Source organism: Homo sapiens, chromosome 15 (genome assembly GCF_000001405.40).
Source record: "Homo sapiens chromosome 15, GRCh38.p14 Primary Assembly".
In the NCBI taxonomy this organism is placed as follows: domain Eukaryota; kingdom Metazoa; phylum Chordata; class Mammalia; order Primates; family Hominidae; genus Homo; species Homo sapiens.
Genome location: NC_000015.10, coordinates 89,654,694 through 89,681,119, shown reverse-complemented (window position 1 = coordinate 89,681,119; position 26,426 = coordinate 89,654,694). Strand labels below are relative to the sequence as shown.

The following is a 26,426-nucleotide window of genomic DNA, read 5'->3' as shown; positions in this document are numbered from 1 at the left end:
TGTGAATCCTTCTTTGTAACTAATGTTTTCCACCCCAGAGCCTCCACATTCATGAGGGATGCCAAAAATCGAAGAAGTTCTTCGTAGATGTACAGCCCAGCACATTCACAACTGAGCATTGTTGCCTGACAATTCATTTATTCAACAATGAATGTTTGAGTGCCATGCATGGTTTTGGGTATCCACTTGTGAGCAAGATGACCTAGGTCCCTGCTCTCACTTGGTGGAGGGGTAGGGAAAGCAGGTAGGTACGGAGAAGGAAAGAAGATAGAACTCTATGCCCTGCAAGCTACTGCTAGAAAACTAACACTTCTGTCTTCCCTCGGGACTCTCCTAGGCCCTTTCACCACTTCTCACCTCTCACCCACATTCTGCACTCCCAGCTAAAGCAGCCAAAGGACTATTTGATTTGGCAGAGCTTTCAGGCACAAAGCCCTATGTTCCCTCTGGCCCAAAGCCACTACTCTGAAGGCTGAAAACTGCCCTTTGGCTCAGGTTGCTGTCCAGTCACAGCCTCACAGATAATTTGTGCTGAACCTTGAGGTGAGGGCAGAGGCCACTTCTTTAAATACTTTGTCTTCTCTACTGCCTTACATTTGAAAAGCACAGGTTGGATCAATAAGTATTAAACGTATAGCGTATTACTCCTTTGAAGCCTCCCTGCTTGACTCCTCCCTTTCCTGCCTTCTCATTCCCTACTTTATTGCATCACAGATACGTAATTTATTACCAAGGATCTTTCATAATTCCCCACCCCTGCCTCTTTCTTCTCTTGCCCACACTGTGTGACTTAACAGAGTCAACAATACATATAATTCCACCAGCAACAAAGAAAATAAGTTTTGTTTTCCTATTGTCTGTTTTCATGAAGAGGCCCTTCTTAGTTAATCTGAAAGCTATGGCTTATACCATAGTCCTCCATCATATCTAAAGCCAGGAACTAGAACTTGGGCTTGTGCTTGAGTCCTGGGTAAAGAAGGGTTGAGTGGTGCTAATTCTTGGCTGTCTGGGTGCTCTTGATTAGTGATAGAATCCTAGTCAACACTGTCGCTTATCCAGACCCAGGAGAATAAAAATCTACTTGGCTCTCCTACTCTTCATTCTGGTAGCATCTTAGGCCAGGTAAAGTTCAATAAATTTTTTTGAATTCTAAGAAGTGGGAATTCCTCCCTCAACTCAAAGGCTATATTGTCAAAAACTCAACTCCCGGCTCTGTCGCTTCTTCACTGAGGGCAATTTATCTCCATAATCAAAGATGAATACATTCAGATGAACTCTTCTGTGTGGGTTTAAATTTTACTGTTCAGCATTCAGTCTTGCTAGTAAATAAGAAAAGATGAGAGAAATGGATTGAAAACTCCCACAAGACCCTCTATGGAAAAGGAGCCAAAAGATTGCAGAGGTATATAGAACTTTAGAGCTTTTGAGTTTAATGATGTCTATCCCTATACCTTCTTTCTGGAAAGCAGATTTTTGTGAATTGAGGGCAGGAACATTACAGAACTGATGCTTCATGGCTCTGGAATACTAAGTCCTCTGAGCCTGGATCTCCTTCAGCTCTGCCACCTACCTCCTTGTTTGCTAAATGTCCTTAGAGAAGTTAGGATATGCCTGGGGAACCCTGGGTCATATAACCATGACAACTGGCTGACCCTGTTGTCTCTCCCTCTCTGCCCTCCTCTAGCTGGGAGGTGGAAGCAGCATTGCCCAAGCCTCCCAGGAGTGACAGGAATTGTTTCTGCCTGAGGAGACACTCTGCAGCCTGGGCTCTGTGAGACTGAGGTGGCGGTCAGCCGGAGTGAGTGTTGGGGTCCTGGGGCACCTGCCTTACATGGCTTGTTTATGAACATTAAAGGGAAGAAGTTGAAGGTAAGGGCCTCTTGGGGATTTTGCTGGGGATGAAAAACTCTGCAGGGAAACTACTGAGGGAGAGATTCTGGTATAGATACCAGAATCTAGAAATAGAGGAATTGGATAGGCACAGTGGATCATGCCTTTAATCCCAGCACTGCAGGTGGCCAAGGCAGGTGGATCACTTGAGCCCAGGAGTTCAAGAACAACCTGGGCAACACAGTGGGATCCTGTCTCTATAAAAAAAGAGAAAAAATTAGCCCTGCATTGTGGTGCATGCCTGTAGTCCCAGCTACATGAGAGGCTGAGGTGGGAGGGTACCTTGATCCCAGGAGGTCAAGGCTGCATTGAGCCATGATCGTGCCACCACATTCCATCCTGGGCAACAGATTGAGACCCTGTCTCAAAAAACAGATAGGGAGAGGGGGAGAGGGACAGACAGAGAGAAAGAGAGAAATAGAGGAATTAACCCAGAGCCTTTTCAAAGATGAAACCTTTAACTTGTTTATTTATTTTTTTAGAGATGGGCATCTCACTGTATTGCCGAGGCTGATCTCAAACTCCTGGGCTCAAGCAATTCTCCCATGTCAGCCTCAGTAGCTGGGATTACAGGTGCTTGCCAGTGCACCCAGCTTGAAACTTCTTGTTTTAGTCTCTTTTGGACCCTCATTTAAGAGCCTTAAGATTTTATCTAAAACTTTTTATCTCTTATGGCTACCTGCATTTTTTATTTCCTAACCTGAACTCCTTTTTTTTTTTGAGACAGAGTCTCCCTCTGTCACCCAGGCTGGAGTGCAGTGGCAGGATCTCAGCTCACTGCAACCTCCACCTCTCAGGCTCAAGCGATCCTCCTGCCTCAGCCTCCCAAGTAGCTGGGATTACAGCTGCCCACCACCACGTCTGGCTAATTTTTGTATTTTTAGCAGAGACGGAGTTTCACCATGTTGCCCAGGCTGGTCTTGAACTCCTGAACTCAGGTGATCTGCCTGCCTTGGACTCCCAAAGTGCCGGGATTACAGGCCTGAGCCACCGCGCCTGGCCTCTTAACCTGAACTCTTATAGGAAACATTATTCTTGGCCGGGCATGGTGGCTCTTGCCTGTAATCACAGCACTTTGGGAGGCCAAGGTGGGCAGATCACTTGAGGCCAGGAGTTCGAGACCAGCCTGGCCAACATGATGAAACCCCATCTCTACTAAAAATACAAAAATTAGCCAGTGTGGTGGTTCATGCCTGTAATCCCAGCACTTTGGGAGGTCTAGGCAGGTGGATCACTTGAGGTCAGGAGTTCGACACCAGCCTAGCCAACATGGTGAAACCCCATCTCTACTAAACAGAAAAAAAAAAAAAAACTAGCCGGGCGTGGTGGTGGGCGCCTGTAATCCCAGCTACTTGGGAGGCTGAGGCAGGAGAATCCCTTGAACCCGGGAGGCGGAGGTTGTAGTGAGCCGAGATTGTGCAACTACACTCCAGCCTGGGCAACAGAGCAAGAATCCATCTCAAAAAAAAAAAAAAAGAAAGAAAGAAAAGAAAAAGAAAGAAACATCAGTCTTGACAAGTAAGCTATGGAGCAACTCATTGCTATGGGACCCTAAGGAGTGGGGCTATTGTGTGTGATATTCACCCTCCAACCTAATGCCTTCTGTTCAGGGCAAATGGGCCCCCAGGCAGCCTGGGCCTAGTTGGTGGCCATGAGAGGTAGGGAAGTGACCCAGTGGAGCTCAAGCCTGAGGGCTTCTGATGGGACCTGGGACTCTGTTTTGCAGCTTGAGGAGCGAGGATGGCAGTCAACAAAGGCCTCACCTTGCTGGATGGAGACCTCCCTGTAAGTAACTTGGGCTCATCTGTGACAGGGGATGGACAACTGAGGGAGGAGGAAGAAGCAGGGAGGGGAGATGCAGGGGACTTAGAGCAAGATATTCCCAGATTATAATCCTAGTTCATTGACTACCATGGCTTAGTTATTCTTGCCCTCACCACCTTTTGTAGGGGGCAGTTGGAGGATCTGGGAGGGGAAAAAAAGATGCCTATTAAAAATTAAGCACCTTGAAAAAAAGGGACAGAAATCCTGGCTTAGGGACGGGGGGAGTGGAGAGGAAGGAAACTACTGTTTAAACCCTGACGCAGAAGCCCATGCTCTGTCCACCACCCAGCTGGATGTGCATTCAGTGCAGAGCCACTGTATTCTGTGTCTCCAGCATCATTCATAACGGCAAATGTCACCTGTCGGAGTTAGACGGTGCACAGCCTGTGCTGCTGTGTGGGGGGAAGGGTGGGATATTCCATGTGTCTGGTGTTCTATCTCTGACCTGGTTTTCACTGTGACTTGAAGTGATTTGATACTTTTAGGGATGCTTGATGGCTCCTGGCAAGGCATCTCAGATTTGGGCACAGTTCGGATAGTGAAACTTAAAAATTATGAACCTGTGCAATATCCACCTTGCCCAAGTTACGCTTTTACTAACTCCTGCACTAGGAATCACTTTGTTTTGTATTGAATCATAGAACAGAGAGAGGCGTAAAATGGTCAAGTACATGGTTAAGCCATTCTAACAGACGGTGGTTTATTCCCTTCCCAGGATCTCTTTCCTCCTTCGGTTTTGTGTAAAACAACCTCTGAAGCCTCGTCCAAAATGTTAAAAAGAATGTTTTCTTGTTTATAGTCATAGTCTATTTCTAGTTCAAATTTCAAATTCACCTGCAGGATAAAAAACTAAGATATTGGCCAGGTGCAGTGGCTCACGCCTGTAATCCCAGCACTTTGGGAGGCCAAGGCGGGCGGTTCACAAGGTCAGGAGATCAAGACCATCCTGGCTAACACAGTGAAACCCCATCTCTACTAAAAATACAAAAAATCAGCGGGGTATGGTGGCGGGCGCCTGTAGTCCCAGCTACTTGGGAGACTGAGGCAGGAGAATGGCATGAACCCAGGAGGCAGAGCTTGCAGTGAGCTGAGATCGCGCCACTGCACTCCAGCCTGGGAGACAGCGAGATTCCATCTCAAAAAAACAAACAAACAAACAACAAAAAAAAACTAAGATATTGTGGGCTGCTCTGTCTTAGTGTACATGTAGGTGTCATTGATGGGGGTCTTTGAACTCTGCCTCCTACTAACAGAACAGGTCAGGTCTTCACTTTGCGAGCAAAACCATGCCACAGTGTCATATTCAAAGCTACAGAGAGCCTGAGCATCGGAATCTGACCTGGGTTTTTTTTTCTTTTTACTTTTGATATGGAGAATTCTCAACATTCATAAGAATAGACAGAAAAGAACATAGGAAGCCCCACGTACCCTTTATTAGCCCCGAAGACCATGAATTCGTGGCCAATCCCGCCTCGTCCTCACTTCCATTAATTCCCCCACTTCATGTTATTTTGAAGGTAATCCCAGGTAGGCCATTTCCAACTTGTGTTGGAATCCTGGCTCTGCCACTTATCAGCTGTGGGATCTTGGGTAAATCACTTCCTGTTTCTGATTGTCAATCTCCTCATCGACTCAGTGTTGGTGACAGTGCTGACCCCAGAGGATGGCTGTTAGAATTAAGTGAGCTCATGTCACCAAGGCACCCAGACCAGTGCCTGCAGCATAATGGCACCTGGCAAATGTTCTTTCCCTCTGCATGCCTAGAATTTGTTCTTTTAATTTTATTTATTTATTTTTTAGATATAGAGTCTTGCTCTGTCACCCCGGCTGGAGTGCAGTGGCATTGTCATAGTTCACTGCAGCCTCGGACTCCTGGTCTCAGACAGTCCTCTCACCTCAGCCTCCCCAGCAGCTGGGACTGTGTAGTCCACATGCCATCAAATATTAGCATGGCCAGCTTTTTTTTTTTTTTTTTTTTTTTTTGTGGCTCAGAGTGGTCTCAAACTCCTGGCTTCAAATGATCCTCCCGCCTCAGCCTCCCAAAGTGTTGGGATTACAGGCATGAGCTTCTACACTTAGCCCTAGAATTCATTCTTTTACTCAAAGACCAGTGTTTTTTCACTAAGGTTCCTAGGTGACCTAAAACTTAATTATGTGACTGCTGCCAAAGGTGCATTACTAACAGCACAGCACCCCGGAAATGATAAACGATTGTTCCACTACACCCAGCACGTGCAGATCGCACCCAGAGTGCTGTCTTTGAGTGTTGTTTGTTTGTTTTTTGTTTTTTGAGACAGGGTGTCATTCTGTCATCGAGGCTGTGGTACAGTGGCGTGATTATGGCTCACTACAGCCTCCAACTCCCGGACTCATGCGATCTTCCCGCCTCAGGTTCCCGAGTAGCCGGGACCACAGGCACACAGCACCATGCCCTGCTAATTATGTTATTATTATTTATTATTTTTTTTTGTAGAGACGGGGTCTCCCTGTGTTGCCCAGGCTGGCCTTAAACTCCTGGGCTCAAGCGAGGGTAGTATATTTTTAAGAAAGATAATGTAAAACTGTAGCATGTCCAGGAGAGGGGGTCACCAGACCACAGTGTGAACCATTTGTAAACGAAGTTAGGAACTGGAGCCATTTAACATGATGGCGGCACTTCTAAAGGGAGACATATTTGACTTCAAATATGTGAAGGGCCAACCCATGGATGAGGAAATAGGTTTGCTCAGTTTTGTTCCAGAGGGCAGAGTGTGGAACAGGGGGGTGGAGGCAAATTTCAGCTCAGCAAAGCTGTCCAACAAGGGACACAGGCCACTTTGTGAGGGGGAGAGCTCTCATTCAGGGAGACATTCAAATATAAGTCTTGGCTGGGCGCAATGGCTTAGGCCTATAATCTCAGTGATTTGGGAGGCTGAGGCAGAAGGATCACTTGAGTCCAGGAGTTCAAGACCGGCAAGACCCCTCCTCTACAAAATAAAAATATTAGCAAGGCATGGTGTCACAGGCCTGTAGTCCCAGCTACCCAGGAGGCACAAGTGTGGGGACTGTTTGAGCCCACGAGTTGGAGGTTACAGTGAACTATGATGGCACTAATGCACTTCAGTTTGAGCAACAGAGTGAAACCCTGTCTCTATAAAAAATAATAAATAAATAAAAACAAATACAAGTCGACCAGAGGAAGGATGGAAAGGATTCTTACTACAAAGTCCCCTAAGATTCTGTGATTCTGTGCAGTTGGGCAGATCTAAACCTACACATTCTACTAGGCACAGCCCTGACTGTGGTTCACGTATTCAGCTAATATTACTGTGCCATGTTTGGCCTACACTCTGGGGATGCGGAGATGACAGTCTACGGGGAGTGAGATGAACACACATAACCACAGCACGGTGTGACGAATGTGGAGAGAGCCAGGGAGGGAGTGGTTTCCGACGTGATGGAGGAGAGTCTGGAAGCTTCACAGGGGGAGTGCTGGTCAAGCAGAGTCTTGAAGGAATGGCATTCTGCCAGGCAGCAAGGGCTGTGGGAGGGAAGGTGAGCGTTCTAGGCAGTGGGGTCGGGATACACAGGCAGGGAGGCAGTACCCCAGAAAGACCAGAAAAATGTTTGGAGAAGCCACCAATCAAAGGTGGACTAAAACTCTAGACATTAACAACACTTGCTCTCTACCAGTAGGTATCAGGGGAGTGAGCTGAGGTGGGGGTGGGAGTGATGGGATCTGACTTGGTCCCTGGAGAACAGAGATTGCCTTGGCAGCTCTCCAGCACCCCGGATGGTGACCAGGAGGACATGGCCGGCTGACTCTTGTTTTCCCCATGGGCTCTCCCACGCTCCCATGATTGGGGCATCTAGAGACCTCTTTGGCCTTGGTTCCTCCCAGGTCGCTTGGACTCAGGCTAGTTGCACCATTGGTCCCCATGACCCCGGGGTCAGCTTCCCGGGAGGCTGGAGAGGGAGGTGGGACAACTTGAATGTGTTCCTTCCGCACCAGGAGCAGGAGAATGTGCTGCAGCGGGTCCTGCAGCTGCCGGTGGTGAGTGGCACCTGCGAATGCTTCCAGAAGACCTACACCAGCACTAAGGAAGCCCACCCCCTGGTGGCCTCTGTGTGCAATGCCTATGAGAAGGGCGTGCAGAGCGCCAGTAGCTTGGCTGCCTGGAGCATGGAGCCGGTGGTCCGCAGGCTGTCCACCCAGTGTGAGTCCTTGCGGCGCTCAGCAGCTGCCTGCTTGTTCACTGCCTACCTTCCAGTCTGTCTGTCCGCCTCTCAGTCTGTCTGACTGTCTGATAACTTGCTTGTCTGTCTGCTTAACTGCCCACATCCCATTGCATGGTCTTCTTATCTATGGCTATAAAGGTATACATACAGATCTCTTTTCTTCTATAGATGCCTATCTATGGCCCAGCTGGCATTTTCCTAGGATAACAATGATGGCCAGAGAATCTGCAGGGGAAGGGAAGGCAGAGCTGTGCAGGCAGTGGTGAGGGTAGGGCCCATGGCAGACCAGACACTCACTGTCGCAGCACAGGCAGCAGCAGCAGCAAGAACCAGCAGAGTCTGGCAGAGGCAGAGGCAGCCGGCACTAGGGGGCCTGGCAGGGCCGGAGGGCACGGAGGGAGGGGAAAGCTGGCTGAGCCCAGCAGCTGATGGTAGCGGCTCATGACGGGTGGGGGTGGCAGAGAGCCTCCAGCCAGGGCCCTAGAGGCAGAAGATGGCTCTCCTACTGGCCTTACCAGATGTGCACCACTCAAATTGTTCTGCCCCATCTGAAAATGTGGTCTCCAAGGCATACACAGGGCTGAGGGAAATCGCAGCAATGCCAAAAAGTCTGGTACCTTCCACCATCCTAATTACAGAATTATGGGTAGCTGAGGACTCCACACAGCAAACAGGAGAGGACCGATGTGAAGTAGGCCCAGGCCCTGTCCCTGGCTACAATCTCCTTAAATAGTTTCCTTGAGTCTCATTCTGCCCAACTGGAAGACAGCCAAGTCATCTGGGCTCTCTGCTGCTTGAGAATTTTGTGAAGAAAAATAAGGTATCTGGCAAAAGAATATATGAAAGAGTATGAAGAACTCTCCTTGAAAGCTGTGGCCCCCATTGGCCATGGCTGCAGAGCCGATGTCCCGGCCAATCCAGGCGGGATCCCCTTGAAGCAGGTGCATCTCTGATGCATGCCCACTCTCCGGGGGCAACTCTTTTCCCTTCCCTGTGACCCTCTTCGGACAGTTGACCATCTCAACACCTAGTGGTTAAAAAGAAGAGCATGGACGGCCTGGGGCCTGCACTGGCTGTGCTGGGAGTTTGTCATGTTGATAGCTAAGCAGGCCCAGCCCCAAGGCCTCACTGCCATCTGCTTCCCTCTCACACCTCTCTTCTCCCTCCTCATGCTCACTCAGAGCCCCCTTGCAGGTCAGGAAGGAAGAGAAGGAGGGAAAGAACGGTACTTGTTGGTGATTCATATAGCTCCCATCATTCTTCTTCACAAAAATCCTGCCAGGCAGGCACCATTAATTCACCTTTTACAAGGTAGGAAGCAGAGGCTCAGACAGGCTGTGACTAGCTGAGGCCACAGGCTTCTTAGATGTGGTCACTTGGCCTTTTGAGTGCAGGTCTGAGCGACTCCAGAGTTCCCACACAGACAGAAGAAACTGGCCCGGGTCTTGAGGAGTCCCTGCAGACAAGGGCGAAAGAGGGCAAAGGGCCTGGGGCCCAGAGATGCTGGGGAGGCAGCAGGCCTTGGGATTTGAGGGCTCCAAGTCACTTCCTTGGCACAGAAGCCACTGCTAGATTCTCATGGGGAGGGGCAGGGCTCACCCAAACTTGGCCCTTTCCTTCCAGTCACAGCTGCCAATGAGCTGGCCTGCCGAGGCTTGGACCACCTGGAGGAAAAGATCCCCGCCCTCCAGTACCCCCCTGAAAAGGTGAGCCCTTCCCACCTCTCGAAGCCTCCCTGCACTCTGTCGTCACCGCCTCTCAGGGAGGAGAGGGCAGGGGCTGCTGATGCCGTGACTGGAAGTCTGTGTCCCATGGTGAGCACCCTCCAAGGCTGGCGGAGAGTGCCTGCTCCCAAGGCCACACAACAGGCTCCTCTTCTCCCTGTGAAGCTAAACGGAGGTGGGGTTTCTGGGACCAGCAGGCACGAGCCCAGAGGCAAACCCAAACAGGAGCTTGAGGCGGGTCCCACTGCCTCCCGATACCGCACCCTGGGATCTGAGGTTCCATAGTCTGCCCTGGACCACTTGGCAACTACAGCTGCCTAAGATCATGAGTCACACTCATTCAGATCCCAGGAGTGTCATCCCATATCCTCAAGATCCAACCTTTTATGGACCATGAGATTGAAGGTCACTTTACCTGGCTACATATTTATTGGGTAGTTGCTATGATAAGGACTCATTTTTGGTGCTTCTGGGGAATAAGCTTCAGTCTCTGACCTCATCTATCTCACTGACCAACTATCTACCCTTCCCACAAACAGGTACTGAGCCCTACCCTATGCCCGGGGCCATCACCTATGCTTTATCAAGCGCTCTTCTTTAATCCACTTGTCAACCCTCTGGGATAGGGGTTGTTATCTCCATTTTACAGAGAGGAAACCAGTGTCTCCCCCACGGCCACACAGCCTTAAGTGGGGACAATGAGAGCAGGTCTATTCAGCTGTGAGACCTGTGCTCTTTGCTCCCCATTTTTCCAGATAAAAGGCAACATTTTTGTCACAAAAGAGCTCCCAGAATAATGAAGAAAAAGACAAATTATTTCAGTGCAGAACTTGTAGGAAGATCAAGCACACCTATAAATCAACAGAAATGCTGTGTTCTGAGGAAAGGATGGAGGAGATTCCTTGTGAGCCCAAGGGTATCAGGACAGGTGGCACCAAGGACGAGCCTTTGGGGTCATCCTCACAGGATGGGAGGGATCTTGACAGGCTGTGATGCGGGGTGAAGAAGCCAGGAGATCCAAACAGTTGGCACAGGGAAGGTTGGAGCCCTCTCCTCTAAAGCCCAGCTTAATTCCAGGTACCTAAATATCAGTACCAGTTCCCTGGGCCTTTAGGTGATGCCTTCCTGGGAGCTGGGCTCAGGCCACCAGACCCCGGAAGGGCAGCCCTTGTAGGGCCTGCAAGACCACATGCCTAACACCCCCACCAACTTCCCCCAGATTGCTTCTGAGCTGAAGGACACCATCTCCACCCGCCTCCGCAGTGCCAGAAACAGCATCAGCGTTCCCATCGCGAGCACTTCAGACAAGGTCCTGGGGGCCGCTTTGGCCGGGTGCGAGCTTGCCTGGGGGGTGGCCAGAGACACTGCGGAATTTGCTGCCAACACTCGAGCTGGCCGACTGGCTTCTGGAGGGGCCGACTTGGCCTTGGGCAGCATTGAGAAGGTGGTGGAGTACCTCCTCCCTCCAGACAAGGAAGAGTCAGGTACCTGCCATTCGGAGGCTCGGCCTGGGAGTGAGTTGTCACACACACTGCCTGGGAATCAGCAGGAGGTGGCTCAACCAGCCACTGCTCTGGAATAGGGAAGGCCAGTGGGATTTTCAGATGGATTCATAATCATTTACCCCCCCCACCCCCACCCCATCTGTAAAGAGGGAAAGTGAGTTGTGGAACTCACCAGTGAGTTTGTGGTGGACCTAGAACACCTACTTTCCAGTCCTAGACATGACCCAGATCTCTCCGGCCCCTCTCTGACCTGTTTTCTCTTCTTTCCCCCCAAATCCCTACCCAGCCCCTGCTCCTGGACACCAGCAAGCCCAGAAGTCTCCCAAGGCCAAGCCAAGCCTCTTGAGCAGGGTTGGGGCTCTGACCAACACCCTCTCTCGATACACCGTGCAGACCATGGCCCGGGCCCTGGAGCAGGGCCACACCGTGGCCATGTGGATCCCAGGCGTGGTGCCCCTGGTAAGTATCTGCCGTGAGCTCTGACTGACCCGGTGCCTGGGAGCCCTGTGGGCCTCCTAGTCCCTCCCATCCCCCACCCATCACCCCTTCCTGTCCTGAGAACATTCTCTCTTCCAACGTGGGCTGGGGCTTCAGTTCTAAGAGGACTTGAGAGGGGTAGAGGGATGGCCTTCCAGACCACAGGGAAAGAGAAGGGAGAGGATGTTAAGCAAGGGCAGGCCTGCCTTGCTAGAGTGCTCCTTCCCCACCACTCACTTCTATCTCCCCCATTTCCCTCTGAGTCTCCCACAAGCCCCAGCCTTCATACCCCCAAGTGGACCTCTTTCTATGGGTCTTCCCACCTATAAGACAGCAGGACCTCCATCTGCTATGCAAGCACTAGGGACTGTCATCCTTAAATAAACAAAGTATACAACCCATTTTGTCAGGGAGAGTGTACCCAGCACCAATGCACCCAAGGTGAAGTTGCCCTTTCTAGGCCCAGGGAGAGTTAACTCCCCACCACTCCCCACCACTCCCCACCTCCACCTCTCTGTATCTTAGCAGAAATAGGCTGGATGTTTTTCATAAGGAATTTTAGTAAGAAACTAAGGCCAGAAAAGAAAATAAAACAATACTAAAGCATAAAGGCCAGCAAACAAGATGACTACTTTTCAGCCATCTTTTGAGCAGTACTTTTAAAAGCATCATCAGGCGTGGATCATTCATTCAAGCAAGTGTTGCCCCTGCAGGAATACAGGAGTAGTAGCTCCCCTCTGTCCCCTGCATCAATAACAGCTGAGACTGAGTCACATGCCTGGACCCCGCCTGCAGTGGGCAGAACCTCACGTGCCACCATTCGCATGGAATAGAGTGGCATCCCCAAAAGCTGTGTAATAAGGAGTCTCTGTTTGTGGGGCTCCCTAGAGGTTTAGAATGTGCCTCAGGAGATACCAGCCCCCTTGCTCAGTCAATTTCTTCCCATGGGACACTCTGGTTCATTGAATTTTTCACTCTTAAAAGATCTGGGAGGAGTATCTACCAAAGCTAACATACATATATCCTATGGCCCAGCAGTTCCACTCTTAAGTGTATACCCAACAGAAATGAGCACTTAAGTCTCCCAAGACAAGTGAAAAATGCTCAGATCAGCAATATCCTTAGCTAAGAACTGGAAGCGATGATAATGTCCATCAACGGTAGAATGGGTAAATTACAGGAAATTCGTATGATGGAATATTACACAGAAATGAAAAAGAAGGAACTACTTCCATTTGCAGCAACATGGGTGAAACTTACACCATCATATTTAACTAAAGGAGCTATTAATAGATGAATACACATGGTGTGACTCCACTTACATGAAGTTCGAAAATAGGCAAAACTAAGGCATGGTGACAGAGAGCAGGACTGTGGTCACTCTTGGGGGAATGTGGACTGAGTGGGGACACAGGGAGTCTTTGGGTGTTGAAAATGGTCTATGTCTTGATCTGTGGTGGTTACACAGGTGTGTTCTTATAAAAATTCATAGAGCTTACACTAAAGATGTGTGCACTTTAGTGTATGTAGATTACCAACTCAATAAAAAGTTTCCAGAAAAGTCTGCTGGGGCTGAGCCCTGCTCACCACCTGGCCCGGACCCTGGGGGCGAGGGGCTTGGGCTGCTGGGGCTCCCTGGCCTTCAGCAGGGGCAGTTGAGCCAGCTATCTGCTGCCATCCTCCCTCAGAGCAGCCTGGCCCAGTGGGGTGCCTCAGTGGCCATGCAGGCGGTGTCCCGGCGGAGGAGCGAAGTGCGGGTACCCTGGCTGCACAGCCTCGCAGCCGCCCAGGAGGAGGATCATGAGGACCAGACAGACACGGAGGGAGAGGACACGGAGGAGGAGGAAGAATTGGAGACTGAGGAGAACAAGTTCAGTGAGGTGAGGGGGAGAGTGGGAGCCTCAAGGTCCCCCAGCCCACAGAAGGGGTGAGAAGCAGAGGCATAGGGTGAACTCAGGGCCTCTGCCCCAGATGCAGGGGCACGGCATGTGCGTGCAACACCCTTCACCCCACCCCCAAATGCCCAGCTGGCGAGGGACTTCCATGTCATTCTCTCAGCTGACCCTTGCAACACTCTGTAAATAGGCAGGGCAGAGATTATTGTCCCATTTTGCAGGAGAAGAAACAGAGGTTCAGAGAGGGAATGTGACCTGTCCAAGGCCACACTGCTAGTGGCAGAATAGGCCTGAAGTTTTGTAAATTTGGTATTCTCATGCTTTCCCCTCTAGCCCTGGGGCTGGTGGGGAGGGAAGGGTCAGGGGAGTTACCACAGGAGGCACTGACCCTGCTTTGGCCCCCAGGTAGCAGCCCTGCCAGGCCCTCGAGGCCTCCTGGGTGGTGTGGCACATACCCTGCAGAAGACCCTCCAGACCACCATCTCGGCTGTGACATGGGCACCTGCAGCTGTGCTGGGCATGGCAGGGAGGGTGCTGCACCTCACACCAGCCCCTGCTGTCTCCTCAACCAAGGGGAGGGCCATGTCCCTATCAGATGCCCTGAAGGGCGTTACTGACAACGTGGTGGACACAGTGGTGCATTACGTGCCGGTGAGTACCACCCCTGGCAAACTGTTAGTGTCCCAAGGGGGCCTGGACATGGCAGATAAAGTAGATTTGACTGAAGGGGCTGCAGTCCCCCTCCTTTCCCCTACTCCTCTGGAGACCGCCCCCCACTCCAGTCCTCAGTGCCCTGGCAACATTTTAACATACTGGGCCTCTCCCAGCCCCAGGAGTATAGAGGCCCATGGCTCTGGCCTGAGGCCTCTCCCCACGGCCCCTCCCACCTGCTGGTAGAGGAGTCTCCAGCCATCAGTCCCAGGATCCCAGTGGCTCACCTTCACCCCTTTGCTCTCAACTGAAGGGCTGGGCGGGTTTGCATGCTGCTGCCTGGGAAGGGGTTGGAGAGGCTTCCAGGGCACCCTGAGGGGTGGGCCATGAGTTCCAGGGGACAGCAGCAGGCTCCACCCAATTCTATCACCTGTCACCAATAGGAAAAACCCAGGGGATACCAATGCCATCCCTTTGGGAGCCCCTTTCCAAAGCAGGTTACAGATTATGCAGGCCTGGGGGGCGGGGCTGGTCAGGGCAGAAAGCACCCTTAGAGCTGGTAAGGGGGTGGGTTACTCAGTCACTCTACCAAGCAGCATGCCAGGGATCTTAGCAGCCCGCCTGTTCATCCTGCGCTCGGGCCAGCCCCAGGAAGGTGTACCGGTCCCTGGCCAGGTCACTGTGTGGGCTGCAAGGAAGAGTTAGGAAAGCTGATGACCTCCCATTGAGGGTTCCCCTCAGGAAGGCCTAGGGGATCCTGAAACTTTGGGAGGCTTGGCTTGCCTGAGCAGCCTGGTCCATGGAGAAGCTCAGAGTGGGCAGGACCTCAGGGCTTTCCCCGGTGCCCCCCAAACTACTGAACCGCTCCCCAGCCTGTGTCCTCCTGACGGCCGCTCCCGGGGGAACAATCGAGGGGCCCGGGAAGGGGCGGTGGGTCAGAGGCGCAGGGCCCAGGGCCAAGCCAGGACTCTAAGGCGGCTGCCGGGCCCTCAGCTCCCCAGGCTGTCGCTGATGGAGCCCGAGAGCGAATTCCGGGACATCGACAACCCACCAGCCGAGGTCGAGCGCCGGGAGGCGGAGCGCAGAGCGTCTGGGGCGCCGTCCGCCGGCCCGGAGCCCGCCCCGCGTCTCGCACAGCCCCGCCGCAGCCTGCGCAGCGCGCAGAGCCCCGGCGCGCCCCCCGGCCCGGGCCTGGAGGACGAAGTCGCCACGCCCGCAGCGCCGCGCCCGGGCTTCCCGGCCGTGCCCCGCGAGAAGCCAAAGCGCAGGGTCAGCGACAGCTTCTTCCGGCCCAGCGTCATGGAGCCCATCCTGGGCCGCACGCATTACAGCCAGCTGCGCAAGAAGAGCTGAGTCGCCGCACCAGCCGCCGCGCCCCGGGCCGGCGGGTTTCTCTAACAAATAAACAGAACCCGCACTGCCCAGGCGAGCGTTGCCACTTTCAAAGTGGTCCCCTGGGGAGCTCAGCCTCATCCTGATGATGCTGCCAAGGCGCACTTTTTATTTTTATTTTATTTTTATTTTTTTTTTAGCATCCTTTTGGGGCTTCACTCTCAGAGCCAGTTTTTAAGGGACACCAGAGCCGCAGCCTGCTCTGATTCTATGGCTTGGTTGTTACTATAAGAGTAATTGCCTAACTTGATTTTTCATCTCTTTAACCAAACTTGTGGCCAAAAGATATTTGACCGTTTCCAAAATTCAGATTCTGCCTCTGCGGATAAATATTTGCCACGAATGAGTAACTCCTGTCACCACTCTGAAGGTCCAGACAGAAGGTTTTGACACATTCTTAGCACTGAACTCCTCTGTGATCTAGGATGATCTGTTCCCCCTCTGATGAACATCCTCTGATGATCTAGGCTCCCAGCAGGCTACTTTGAAGGGAACAATCAGATGCAAAAGCTCTTGGGTGTTTATTTAAAATACTAGTGTCACTTTCTGAGTACCCGCCGCTTCACAGGCTGAGTCCAGGCCTGTGTGCTTTGTAGAGCCAGCTGCTTGCTCACAGCCACATTTCCATTTGCATCATTACTGCCTTCACCTGCATAGTCACTCTTTTGATGCTGGGGAACCAAAATGGTGATGATATATAGACTTTATGTATAGCCACAGTTCATCCCCAACCCTAGTCTTCGAAATGTTAATATTTGATAAATCTAGAAAATGCATTCATACAATTACAGAATTCAAATATTGCAAAAGGATGTGTGTCTTTCTCCCCGAGCTCCCCTGTTCCCCTTCATTGAAAACCACCACGGTGCCATCTCTTGTGTATGCAGGGCTATGCACCTGCAGGCACGTGTGTATGCACTCCCCGCTTGTGTTTACACAAGCTGTGGGGTGTTACGCATGCCTGCTTTTTTCACTTAATAATACAGCTTGGAGAGATTTTTGTATCACATTATAAATCCCACTCGCTCTTTTTGATGGCCACATAATAACTACTGCATAATATGGATACGCCTTATTTGATTTAACTAGTTCCCTAATGATGGACTTTTAAGTTGTTTCCTTTTTTTTTCTTTTTTGCTACTGCAAACGATGCTATAATAAATGTCCTTATCAAAAATGTCTAGTGTACATGTGTGGCTATGTGTATATATATATATATATATATATATATGAGATAGACGCATGACTTGTAACCATGACATACTGGGTGAAAGAATATGTGCATTTTAAGCATTACTAGATAATACCAAGTAGCCTGCCAAACCAAACCCTATTTTTCTAGTTATTTTCACCTGCAGCTTCAGAAATATGCACAGAAAATTATGAGTCTTCAGTCAGTCCTTTTACACATCCATATATTTATACTCATCTTCCACAGGTCCCCCTCAGACACATAAGCACCCACTCTATTAGCTCCCACTCTATTGCACACCTGGAAGCCCCGCTCCCTGAAACTGACTCTGTGGCCCTGGAACTGACTCTGTGGCCCTGGCACTGACTCTGTGGCCCTGGAACTGACTCTGTGGCCCTGGCACTGACTCTGTGGCCCTGGAACTGACTCTGTGGCCCTGGCGCTGACTCTGTGGCCCTGGAACTGACTCTGTGGCCCTGGCGCTGACTCTGTGGCCCTGGAACTGACTCTGTGGCCCTGGCGCTGACTCTGTGGCCCTGGAACTGACTCTGTGGCCCTGGCGCTGACTCTGTGGCCCTGGAACTGACTCTGTGGCCCTGGCGCTGACTCTGTGGCCCTGGCACTGACTCTGTGGCCCTGGAGCTGACTCTGTGGCCCTGGCACTGACTCTGTGGCCCTGGAACTGACTCTGTGGCCCTGGCACTGACTCTGTGGCCCTGGAACTGACTCTGTGGCCCTGGCACTGACTCTGTGGCCCTGGAACTGACTCTGTGGCCCTGGCACTGACTCTGTGGCCCTGGCACTGACTCTGTGGCCCTGGCAGATCTTTGGTGTAATGAGTCATGGGCCTTTATCTGTGGTTTTGGAGTCTGAGGATGCCAAGAATGGTGACAGGAGAGAAGCTGGTAGATATACACATAAAGACGTGGCCAGGCCCCTGAACCAGCCATGGACCCTGACCACCCCACTTGCACGATATAAACTACACCCAGCAGTTCCCTGGGGGGTGGGGAGGGAAGATGGGGGGTGAAGTTGGCAAGAGGGGTTCTTAGAAGCTGATAGAACAGGGCTGAGCAGACAGAGCCCAGCACAGCCTTGGCAGAGCTCCCATGGACAGATGCTGGAGAAATGACCTCAGGCCTAGATGTGCAGAAAGAAACGCCTGCCTGTCCTGGGCCTCACCCACCCATGCAGCTTTCTTCCTGGTGCTCCGGAAACCACATTCCTAGCTCTTTACTCCTCCCCGGTCCTGCGGCTCCTCCTGCTAGGCTATACTCCGGAAGGCAGGAAAGCTGCCTCCTCAGCCGCCTGAGGGCTGTGGCCGCCAACATGCCTGCTGGTCAGGCCCAGTTCCTTCACCCAGCCCTGGGCCTGAGCACGGGTGCTGGAGGCCGCATATGGAATAGGACAGCCCAGGAAGCAAACAGTGTAAGTTATAAGTTTCTTTTTGCTCTTAGAAACCTCTTGATTAGGCAGCAAGGTACACTAAACCTGCTTCTCAGTATTTTGAACACATCTTGGCCAGTAACAAGGGCAAAGTAGCTCCTCTAAATGGCAGACATTTGCTTCCTTGGCTCTAGGCTCAATGGGGGACTTTCCTCTGTTCTGCGGGGCATCACTTTGGCAAGGTCCACCCATACTCAGTATCTTCAGTGTAGCTCAGGACCTAGCAAAGACCTCCACTTCACATCGGGTTGCCCAGGGTCCTTCAGAGAAATACCCAATGCCTTCCATCCTAGCTTACAAAACCCGCTTCTAACTCAGCCACAGCTTTTGGAGATGCAAACAATTACAGACAATAACATACATTTATCCAGGCAATTATTTACCCCTTTTCCCTCCCATAATTTTATTTTGAGACCGTATCACTCTGTCACCCAGGCTGGAGTGCAGTGGCAGGATCTCAGCTCACTGCAACCTCCATGCCCCCAGGCTTAAGCGATTGTCTTGCCTCAGCCTCCTGAATAGCTGAGATTACAGGTGTGCGCCACCATGCCCAGCTAATTCTCACATTTTTAGTAGAGACGGGGTTTCACCATGTTGTCCAGGCTGGTCTCGAACTCCTGACTTCAAGTGATCTGCCCACCTTGTCCTCCCAAAGTGCTGGGATTACAGGTGTGAACCACCATGCCTGGCCTTCCTCCCATAATTATCTAGGATCTTAATATCCAAGGGACTTCCGGGCATGGAGAGAGAGATACCACTATGACTTGTGCTTCAGTGCTCATTGTCTTAAGCATAACTTTCCTAACCATTTAATACTTCACACTTAATCAAAATTTATAAAATGCATACATCAAATTATTTTAAATATTTAAATGTTGATTAGGTGGCTCACACCTGTAATTCCCAGCACTTTGGGAGGCCAAGGCTGGCGGATCACGAGGTCAGGAGTTCAAGATCAGCCTGGCCAACATGGTGAAACCCCATCTCTATTAAAAATACAAAAATTGGCCGGGTGTGGTGGCACGCACCTGTAATAAGTGTAATAATTGCCAGCTACTCAGGAGGCTGAGGCAGGAGAATCGCTTGAAACCAGAAGGCGGAGGTTGCAGTGAGCCAAGATCACGCCATTGCACTCCAGCCTGGGCAACAAGAGCGAAACTCCATCTCAAAAAAAAAAAAAAGTTAGTTACAAACTAAAAAGTCAAATTCTTCTAAGCTTTTCTGTAAACTGGGTCAATGGAAACTTCTGCATACCTTGTTAGTATGTCATTAGAGCTAGTGCGGTCATCTAGAGGTTCCTCTGTGCGCAGAGAGGGGACCAAGACTGTGTGGTCAGCTCCCCATCTAGGATATACTATTGGACCCTTCTATTCACTGCTCTACATCCAGAACACAAGCAGTACCTTTAAAACATCCTGCATGACATCCACAATCCCTCCCCATCCCCAGCCCCAACCTGCCAAAACCACAGTCCTGAATTTTTTTGTTTCTCATTCCCTTGCTTTTCTTTATAGATTTACTTCCTATATATACACCCCAATACAATATGATTGAGTTTTGCATGCCTTGAGCTTTATTTAAGTGTGATTATATGTATTCTTGAGATTTGCTTCTTTTCACTCAAAATTATGTTTCTGAGCTTCATTTGTTTTCACTAGAGATTTTTATTCTAAAACTCTATATTTAATGAGTATATATAAATATGCCATAATTTATTCAGTCATTTGCATTAGAATGGATTCAGTTTTAAAAGACAGAAGGCTCCCAATAACAATGTATACTAGTCAGCTTTTGCCATGATACTGTTGCATAACAAACTATCCTAAGACTGTGGCTTACAACAACATGCATTTATTTTTATGTTCATAGGTCAACTATGGTTTAGCTCATCACTGTGGTACTCCCAATGGCTCTGCTTCAGCCTGCAGATCAGCTGAACTTGGCTCCAGGCTGTGCATGGGTTCAGTTCTGCACCAGGGGTGCTATTTCAGGGCTGCAGGATAAGGGCTCAGTGGCTATATGGGGCATACTCTTCTCACAACAGATCACTGGAGCACAGAACCAAGTCTCACCACAAGTCCTCTCCTTGTATCATATGTACTTACATTCCATTGGCCAAAGCAAGTCATACAGCCAAGTCCACATCAATGGGACAGGGAAGTAGACTTCTCCCCTAGTGGAAGGGGAAAGGGAGCAACTCTTTGCTGAACGATAGTACAGTCTAGCACACAGTGATAGGAGTTTATTTCTGTCTCCTGTAAAAGCCCAGAGATGAGTAGTCCAGACTGGGATGACACTCAGCAGTGCCAGGGGTTGAGGTTCCTTCTATCTTACTGTTCTGTCGTGAATGATTTCTTTTCCTAAACTCACCTCATGAGCCAAGATAGCTGCTCCAGCTCCAGCGATCAACTCCATATTCTAGCCACAGAAAAGAACAAGGAGAAAGGAGAATGGCATGCCTCCACACCAGAAATTACAACTACTTCTGCTTATAACCCACTGGACAGAACTTAGTCACATGACCACTCCTGGTTTAAAAGGGGGATGGGAAATATAGTTTTCATCTGGAGTGGCTATGCACCTAATTAAAAATCAGAAGTCCTAAATGGAGGGGAAGTAGATCCCAGGGATGGGGGTAACTTGTAATCTCTGCCACATCACTCTCCTGTCAATAGACATTTGGATTGTTTCCATATATATGTTTTTTGAGACCAAGTTTCATTCTAGTCCCACAGGCTGGAGTGCAGTGGTACGATCTTGGCTCACTTCAACCCCCACCTCCCAGGTTGAAGCGATTTTCCTGCCTCAGCCTCCCAAGTAGCTGGGACTACAGGCGCTCGCCACCACGCCAGGCTAAATTTTTGTATTTTCAGTAGAGATGGGTTTTCAGCATGTTGGCCAGGCTGGTCTCCAACTCCTGACCTCAAGTGATCCACCCACCTCGGTCCCCCGAACAGCTGGGATTACAGGCATGAGCTACCATGCCCGGCCTGTTTCCGTATTTTTACTGTTACATACTTTGTGATAATGAACATTCTTATAAGAGTTTCTCAGGGAATATGACTAAGAGTGGGATTCCTAAATGATAAAGTGTGTGTATCATTAACTAGATATTGACAAATTGCCATTCAAAGTGGTTGCTCTGATTGACATTCTCACCAGAAGTATATGAGTCCTCTTACCAGCATCCTCATCAGCACTTGATATTGTCTAATTTAATCACTTCATAAATCTGAGGAGAGTAAAACGGAATCTTGTCATGGACTTAATTCCCTGATTAGCAATGATATTGAACATTGTTTATTTAATATTTGCATTTCCTCTTTTGTGAAGTATTTGCCCTTTCTCTTCTCTTTTCTTTCTTCCCTCCCTTCCTCCCTCCCTGCCTCCCTCCTTCCTTCCTTCTTTCCTTCCTTTCTTTCTCTTTCTTTCTTTCTTTTTTCTTTCTTTCTCTCTCTCTTTCTTTCCCCTTCCTTCCTTCTTTCTTTCTTTCCTTCTTCTTTTTGAGACAGGGTCTTGCTCTGTCACCCATGCTAGAATGAATGGTTTAATCAATCATAGCTCACTGCAGCCTTGAACTCTTGGGCTCAAGCGATCCTCCTGCCTCAGCCTCCAAAAGTACTGGTATTACAGGTGTGAGTCATCATGCCAGGCCTAGTTTTTCTCAGTGATTTTTAGAACTTCTTTATATTTCCTGAATACTAACTCTTTATCAAGGATAAATATCACAAATATCTTCTTCCAGCTTGTTGCTTTTGTTTTCATTCTCTTTCTGGTTTCTTTGTTCATCCTTTCAATGAACAAAAGTTCTTAATTTTGATTTAGTCCCAATTACCACTCTTTCCCTTCGTGGTTTGCAGTTTTGAGTTATGATTTTTGTTTGTTTTTAACCTTTCCTGTGGTGCTGAAAGTTATGTTTTAAAAGCTCTCCCCTACCATGAAGGTATGATGATGCTCCCCTAATAATATTTGCCATGATGATTTTCCTCTAACGCTTTATCCATTTTACATTTCATTAATTATTATTATTATTATTATTTTTGAGACAGGGTCTCACTCTGTCACCCAGGCTGGAGTGCAGTGGCGCCATCACAGCTCACTGCATCCTTGACCTCTCGGGCTCGAGCTATCCTATCACCTCAGCCTCCAGGGTAGCTGGGACTACAGGTGCACACCACCATGCCCACCTGATTTTTGCATTTTTTTGTAGAGATGGGGTTTCGCTGTGTTGCCCAGGCTGGTCTCCAACCCTTCAGCTCAAGTTATCTGCCTGCCTCAGCCTCCCAAAGTGCTGGGATTATAGGCATGTGCCACTGCGCCTGGCCCAGCCCTACATTTAATTAATTTTTATAAGTATGGTTTAAGTAGGAATCCAATTTTTTTCTTCCACGTGGATAACTGTCTTATACATTTCCTAACTGAATTTTTAGTTGTGTTTTCTCTCTCTCTCTCTCTCTCTGGAGATGGGGTCTCTGTCATCCAGGCTGGAGTGCCGTGGTGTAATCACAGCTTACTGTAGCTTTGACCTCCCAGGTTTAAGCAATCCTCCCACCTCAGCCTCCAGAGTAGTTGGGACCACAGGTGCACACCACCAGGCCCAGCTAATTTTTTTTTATTTGTAGAGATGAGGTCTCGCTATGTTGCCCAGGCTGGTCTTGAACTCCTGGGCTCAAGCTATCCTCCCACTTCAGCCTCCCAAAGTGCTGGGATGACAGGCATGAGCCACCATACTCAGCCTTGAGTTTCTCTCGAAATAAACTGTATACTGCAGGAAGCTTAAGAGTTCTCTCGAATGTCAGCTGGAAACTTCTCATTTACTGATATCTGATGAACAATGGACCAGGTTCGGCCTGATGGATTGAATAGCTTTCCCCTACTGATCTGCACTCTCTACTCTGTCATAGATCTGGTTTCCAGATTTGTTCTATTTGTTATGCCTGTAGCATTAGCACATTGTCTGAATTACAATAGTTTCAAATATGTTTTCACATCTTCTTGGGCAAGTCCACCCATACTGCCCTTCTGCAAGTGTCTTTTGCAACTTCCGGCACTTTGCTTTTCCATGTAAGTAGTAAAATCAGCTTGTCAAATTCCACAGAAGGAATTTTTACCGACTCAATTTGTTTCAAGTAACTATAATTATTCTTTGCTCTTCTGAAGCTCATGATGTCACAAGTTGGCTGGTAAGAACCCCTTTAAGTTGGGGCTTTTGTCATTTCAGGCCTACAGTATACATTTTAAAAGCATCTGAATTTTTTGACCACAAAATAATTATTCCAGTTCTTACCCTAATACATGGAATCAGCTACTTTTAATGGAAAATAGTGATAAAGGCCACAATTTGGACACTCGGGTACACACCAGATTGTTGCATATGAGTGCTACTGATACACAGAAAAACACTGCACATCCACCAGAAAGAGCAAGAAAAAAGATAAATCTTTCTAAAATCATGAACATTGATAGTTCCACCATCATGAAATTCTTTAAAAATTTATTGTAACATGAAAGTTTTTATTTTCTCTACAATTTAATTACTATAATTGTAATTAGAATTGTACCTCTGTCTCTCTCTCTTTTTTTTTTTTTTTTTTTGAGACAGGGTCTCACTCTCTCACACAGGTTGGAGTGCAGTGGCACCATCTCGGCTCACTGCAACCTCCACCTCCCAGGCTCAAGCCAGTGTATCTTCCTACTTCAACCTCCCAAGTAGCTGGGACTATAGGCCCATGCCACTACGCCTGCCTATGTTTTGCATTTTTTGTGGAAACAGCTTTGCCCTATTGCCCAGGTTGGTCTCAAACTCCTGGGCTGAAGGGATCTGCCTGCCTCAGCCTCCTAGAGTGATGGGTTTACAGGCATGAGCCACCTTGGCTGGCCCAGAATTGTACCTCTTAAAGCATGATGTTTCATTAATCATCATCACCTTTTATTACATTTTACACATATGAAAATCCAAGTTCAGTTTTCAGCTTCTTCACATTTTCAGGGTCTAAAATGATTCTCTTTGGGCATCACGGCGGCAGGCTGCTCTGTGTTGTTCTTGTTCAGGACCCCAATTGATTTAGAATATTTGGGAACAACAGTGTCATTCTACAGCATGTCAAAGAACACTGGGGTTTCATGTGCTCTTTCCAATTGCTCGAGGTTTTAGTTTCTCCTTAATTGAATTGTCTATTGGAGGAAATGGCACAGCTCCTGGCATCTGACAGATAGATGCTTGGTACCTGAATCATGGTCCTTTGTGATACACGAATCAGTTGGCCAGCCTCTCCTCTATGAAGCTTCGAGGATGTGGTTGTGGAGATTGTGGATGACTTTCCTATATCCACGCTGTCTCACACTGGTATTGCAAGCCAATCATGGTAGTTCCATCCCCTTGACAGTGATTAGTTTGGGGGTGGACAGGCCTAAGCTGTGTGGTACATGGAATGGGAAGGAAATCAGCTTGGAGTGCTCTTGATCCAAAGGGCATGCTTCACCACACACTGCTGTCTTCTTCCTCTGGACGTTTTGTGTCTGAAGTTGATGGCAAAAAAAAAAAAAGAGTTAAAAAGGCCACCTCCTTGGTAATGTTGCCACTGACTCAACCTGCCCAGGAGCCCTCATCCCTCTGGGTTTCACTGTTCCCCGAGATAACACATGACCTTATGGTTCAAGCCACTTCAAATTGTGGTTTCTGTTACTGGAGGCTGAGGGTTTCCTAATATAGATCTATCTGACGAGCCTGGCAATTTCTATGGCCTTTAATTATGTTGCCTGTCTATGACAGGTAATCTTCTATATACATAATAAAATTTCACTAGAAACTACACTGGAGTTTACTTTTTCTAATGGCGTTTTAAGTGACAAATATGTTTTCAGATTTTAAAATTCACCCATTCATGGTGCTTCCAGTGCAAACAATGGATCAGAGGTCTCAGAGGTGAAGACACCAACCATCTCTTTGAGGCTGCCGTGGACACCCCCAGATCACCTCTCCTGCCCCTCCTGGTGCCAAGTTTCCCTTGACAATGAGTGTAAGATGGAACTCAATTTTAGGAATGCTAAAATGTGAGAAAAAGAGAGTCTTATAACTGAGAAAACTTTTTTAAACGTGGGGAGATTAAAGTTTCTGCCGGCTGTGTGAGTGGCGTGCAGGAGGCGTGGTTTGGGACTGGGAGTGGAAAACAGAGACCGGGGATGAAGGTGACTCGGGGCTGAGGACAGGATGGTCTGGAGTCCAGTTTGGAGACAAATTCTAGAAAATAAGGCGATGCCATCATGAGGATGCTGCACACTCTCCAGGCCCAGCCCTTGAGCACGGGCCCCGCCCGCCCTGTCTGCGGGCCGACTCCGCGACGCCGACCGGCTCGCGCCTCCGCCCCCGAGCGCCCCGGCGGGCGGAGTTGCGGGTGAGGGGGGGGCTGGTTTGGGGGGCGGGGGTCCCGATGACGGCATCGGAGCGCGCCGCACTGGGGATGGAAACCTGACTGCCTGGCCCGGGACGGCGCTTGCAGCCAGGCAGGTGAGTGTGGGCCGGAGAGCGGGTTAGGGGCGAGGACCGGGTGGGTGGAGGGAGGCGCGCGCTCCCTCCTCGCGCAGGCCTGGGCCTAGTGGCCCTGGGAGCCGGCACTCCTGGGAGACCTGACCCGGCATGAGGAGCCCGGCACCCTTGCTCCCCAGCCTCCTGGAAGCTCTTCCTTGGACTGGCCGGCGCCGTCTTCCCGACATCTGGGGGCTGAGGCCGGCATCCCGGGCCTGCGTGGAGGGGCGAGCGCCAAGGCTGCGAGAGTCGGGTCCCGATTTGTAATCACTTCTTCCAACTTTCATGGAGCTCCGTCCCGCGCCCGCCGCCTCCAGCCCCAGCTGCCCTGCCCCGGCTCCGAATAGCGCCTGCGGGGTTGTCAGAGCACCTTCGGAGCGGGAGCGCTGTGCGGAGAGCAGGGGCGCGCGGAAGCCGGGACTGCACCGGGCTCGGAACGCTCACGCGGAGGGGTGCGCGAAGGCCCACACGGTATTGCGAGGCAGAGTTTACCGCTGTGTGCCCAGGGTCGGGAGCCCAATAGGGGCTGGGTGATTGAATTAACGAAAGGTTACTGTGCTGAGAGAGAGGTTGAAGGGTAAAGAATGAAGTGCCGGGCTGGCGGTGGGGGTGAGGAACGCGGTAGGAGGAGGGAGGGCAGGGAAAGTTCCCTGGATGAAGATTATCCATCACTATCTGTTGGGCAGC

The 26,426-nt window shown here is 49.8% G+C and overlaps 2 protein-coding genes across 9 annotated transcripts in view, besides 5 other annotated features; both read left to right on the top strand.

The window, feature by feature from the left end:
* PLIN1 (perilipin 1) lies at positions 1,753 to 16,753 on the top strand. Of its 2 annotated transcripts, none has more exons than NM_001145311.2 (9): positions 1,753 to 1,798; positions 3,617 to 3,675; positions 7,706 to 7,910; positions 9,556 to 9,638; positions 10,876 to 11,140; positions 11,448 to 11,620; positions 13,327 to 13,518; positions 13,939 to 14,184; positions 15,178 to 16,753. In NM_001145311.2, the coding sequence occupies exons 2-9, from the start codon at positions 3,631 to 3,633 to the stop codon at positions 15,535 to 15,537; spliced, it is 1,569 nt and encodes a 522-aa protein (NP_001138783.1). In that variant the 5' UTR covers positions 1,753 to 1,798; positions 3,617 to 3,630; the 3' UTR covers positions 15,538 to 16,753. The 2 variants fall into 2 exon arrangements, with proteins under 2 accessions (NP_001138783.1, NP_002657.3); NM_002666.5 differs by having other exon boundaries at positions 1,753 to 1,869.
* Positions 7,708 to 8,002: a silencer, noted in NCBI's record as "tiled region #3473; HepG2 Repressive DNase matched - State 12:CtcfO, and K562 Repressive DNase unmatched - State 20:ReprD". NCBI's record gives its function as "represses a minimal TATA promoter and a strong SV40 promoter by Sharpr-MPRA in HepG2 and K562 cells {active_cell/tissue: HepG2 | K562}" and the evidence as "EXISTENCE:reporter gene assay evidence [ECO:0000049][PMID:27701403]".
* Positions 8,544 to 8,808: a silencer, noted in NCBI's record as "fragment chr15:90215543-90215807 (GRCh37/hg19 assembly coordinates)". NCBI's record gives its function as "represses an EF-1alpha promoter that drives an FKBP-Casp9 reporter gene in an ReSE screen in HepG2 liver carcinoma cells {active_cell/tissue: HepG2}" and the evidence as "EXISTENCE:reporter gene assay evidence [ECO:0000049][PMID:32094911]".
* Positions 15,262 to 15,371: a silencer, noted in NCBI's record as "silent region_6802". NCBI's record gives its function as "represses an Ori minimal core promoter by ATAC-STARR-seq in GM12878 lymphoblastoid cells {active_cell/tissue: GM12878}" and the evidence as "EXISTENCE:reporter gene assay evidence [ECO:0000049][PMID:35858748]".
* The window catches only part of KIF7 (kinesin family member 7), a 45,741-nt gene continuing 37,385 nt past the window's right edge, over positions 18,071 to 26,426 (top strand). For 5 of the 7 annotated variants that reach the window (XM_047432481.1, XM_047432480.1, XM_047432479.1 and 2 more), the window contains exon 1: positions 25,653 to 25,721. Coding sequence is in view for 2 of the 7 variants with exons in the window: in XM_047432477.1 (XP_047288433.1) it covers positions 18,098 to 18,196 (99 nt within the window). In the remaining 5 variants the exon portion in view is untranslated. Of the gene's footprint in view, positions 18,197 to 25,652; positions 25,722 to 26,426 lie in introns of those variants that run through there. The other 2 variants (XM_047432477.1, XM_011521531.3) reach the window with 1 other exon arrangement.
* Positions 24,748 to 25,042: a silencer, noted in NCBI's record as "tiled region #5394; K562 Repressive DNase matched - State 10:DNaseD". NCBI's record gives its function as "represses a minimal TATA promoter and a strong SV40 promoter by Sharpr-MPRA in K562 cells {active_cell/tissue: K562}" and the evidence as "EXISTENCE:reporter gene assay evidence [ECO:0000049][PMID:27701403]".
* Positions 25,476 to 25,615: a silencer, noted in NCBI's record as "silent region_6801". NCBI's record gives its function as "represses an Ori minimal core promoter by ATAC-STARR-seq in GM12878 lymphoblastoid cells {active_cell/tissue: GM12878}" and the evidence as "EXISTENCE:reporter gene assay evidence [ECO:0000049][PMID:35858748]".

Bases quoted from the DNA above. Each gene is read 5' to 3' on its own strand.
- PLIN1 (NM_001145311.2), top strand. From the start codon at position 3,631: ATGGCAGTCAACAAAGGCCTCACCTTGCTGGATGGAGACCTCCCT. The intron at 3,676-7,705 runs GTAAGTAACTTG...CTTCCGCACCAG, and splicing joins TGCTGGATGGAGACCTCCCT to GAGCAGGAGAATGTGCTGCA. The intron at 11,141-11,447 runs GTACCTGCCATT...ATCCCTACCCAG, and splicing joins TCCAGACAAGGAAGAGTCAG to CCCCTGCTCCTGGACACCAG.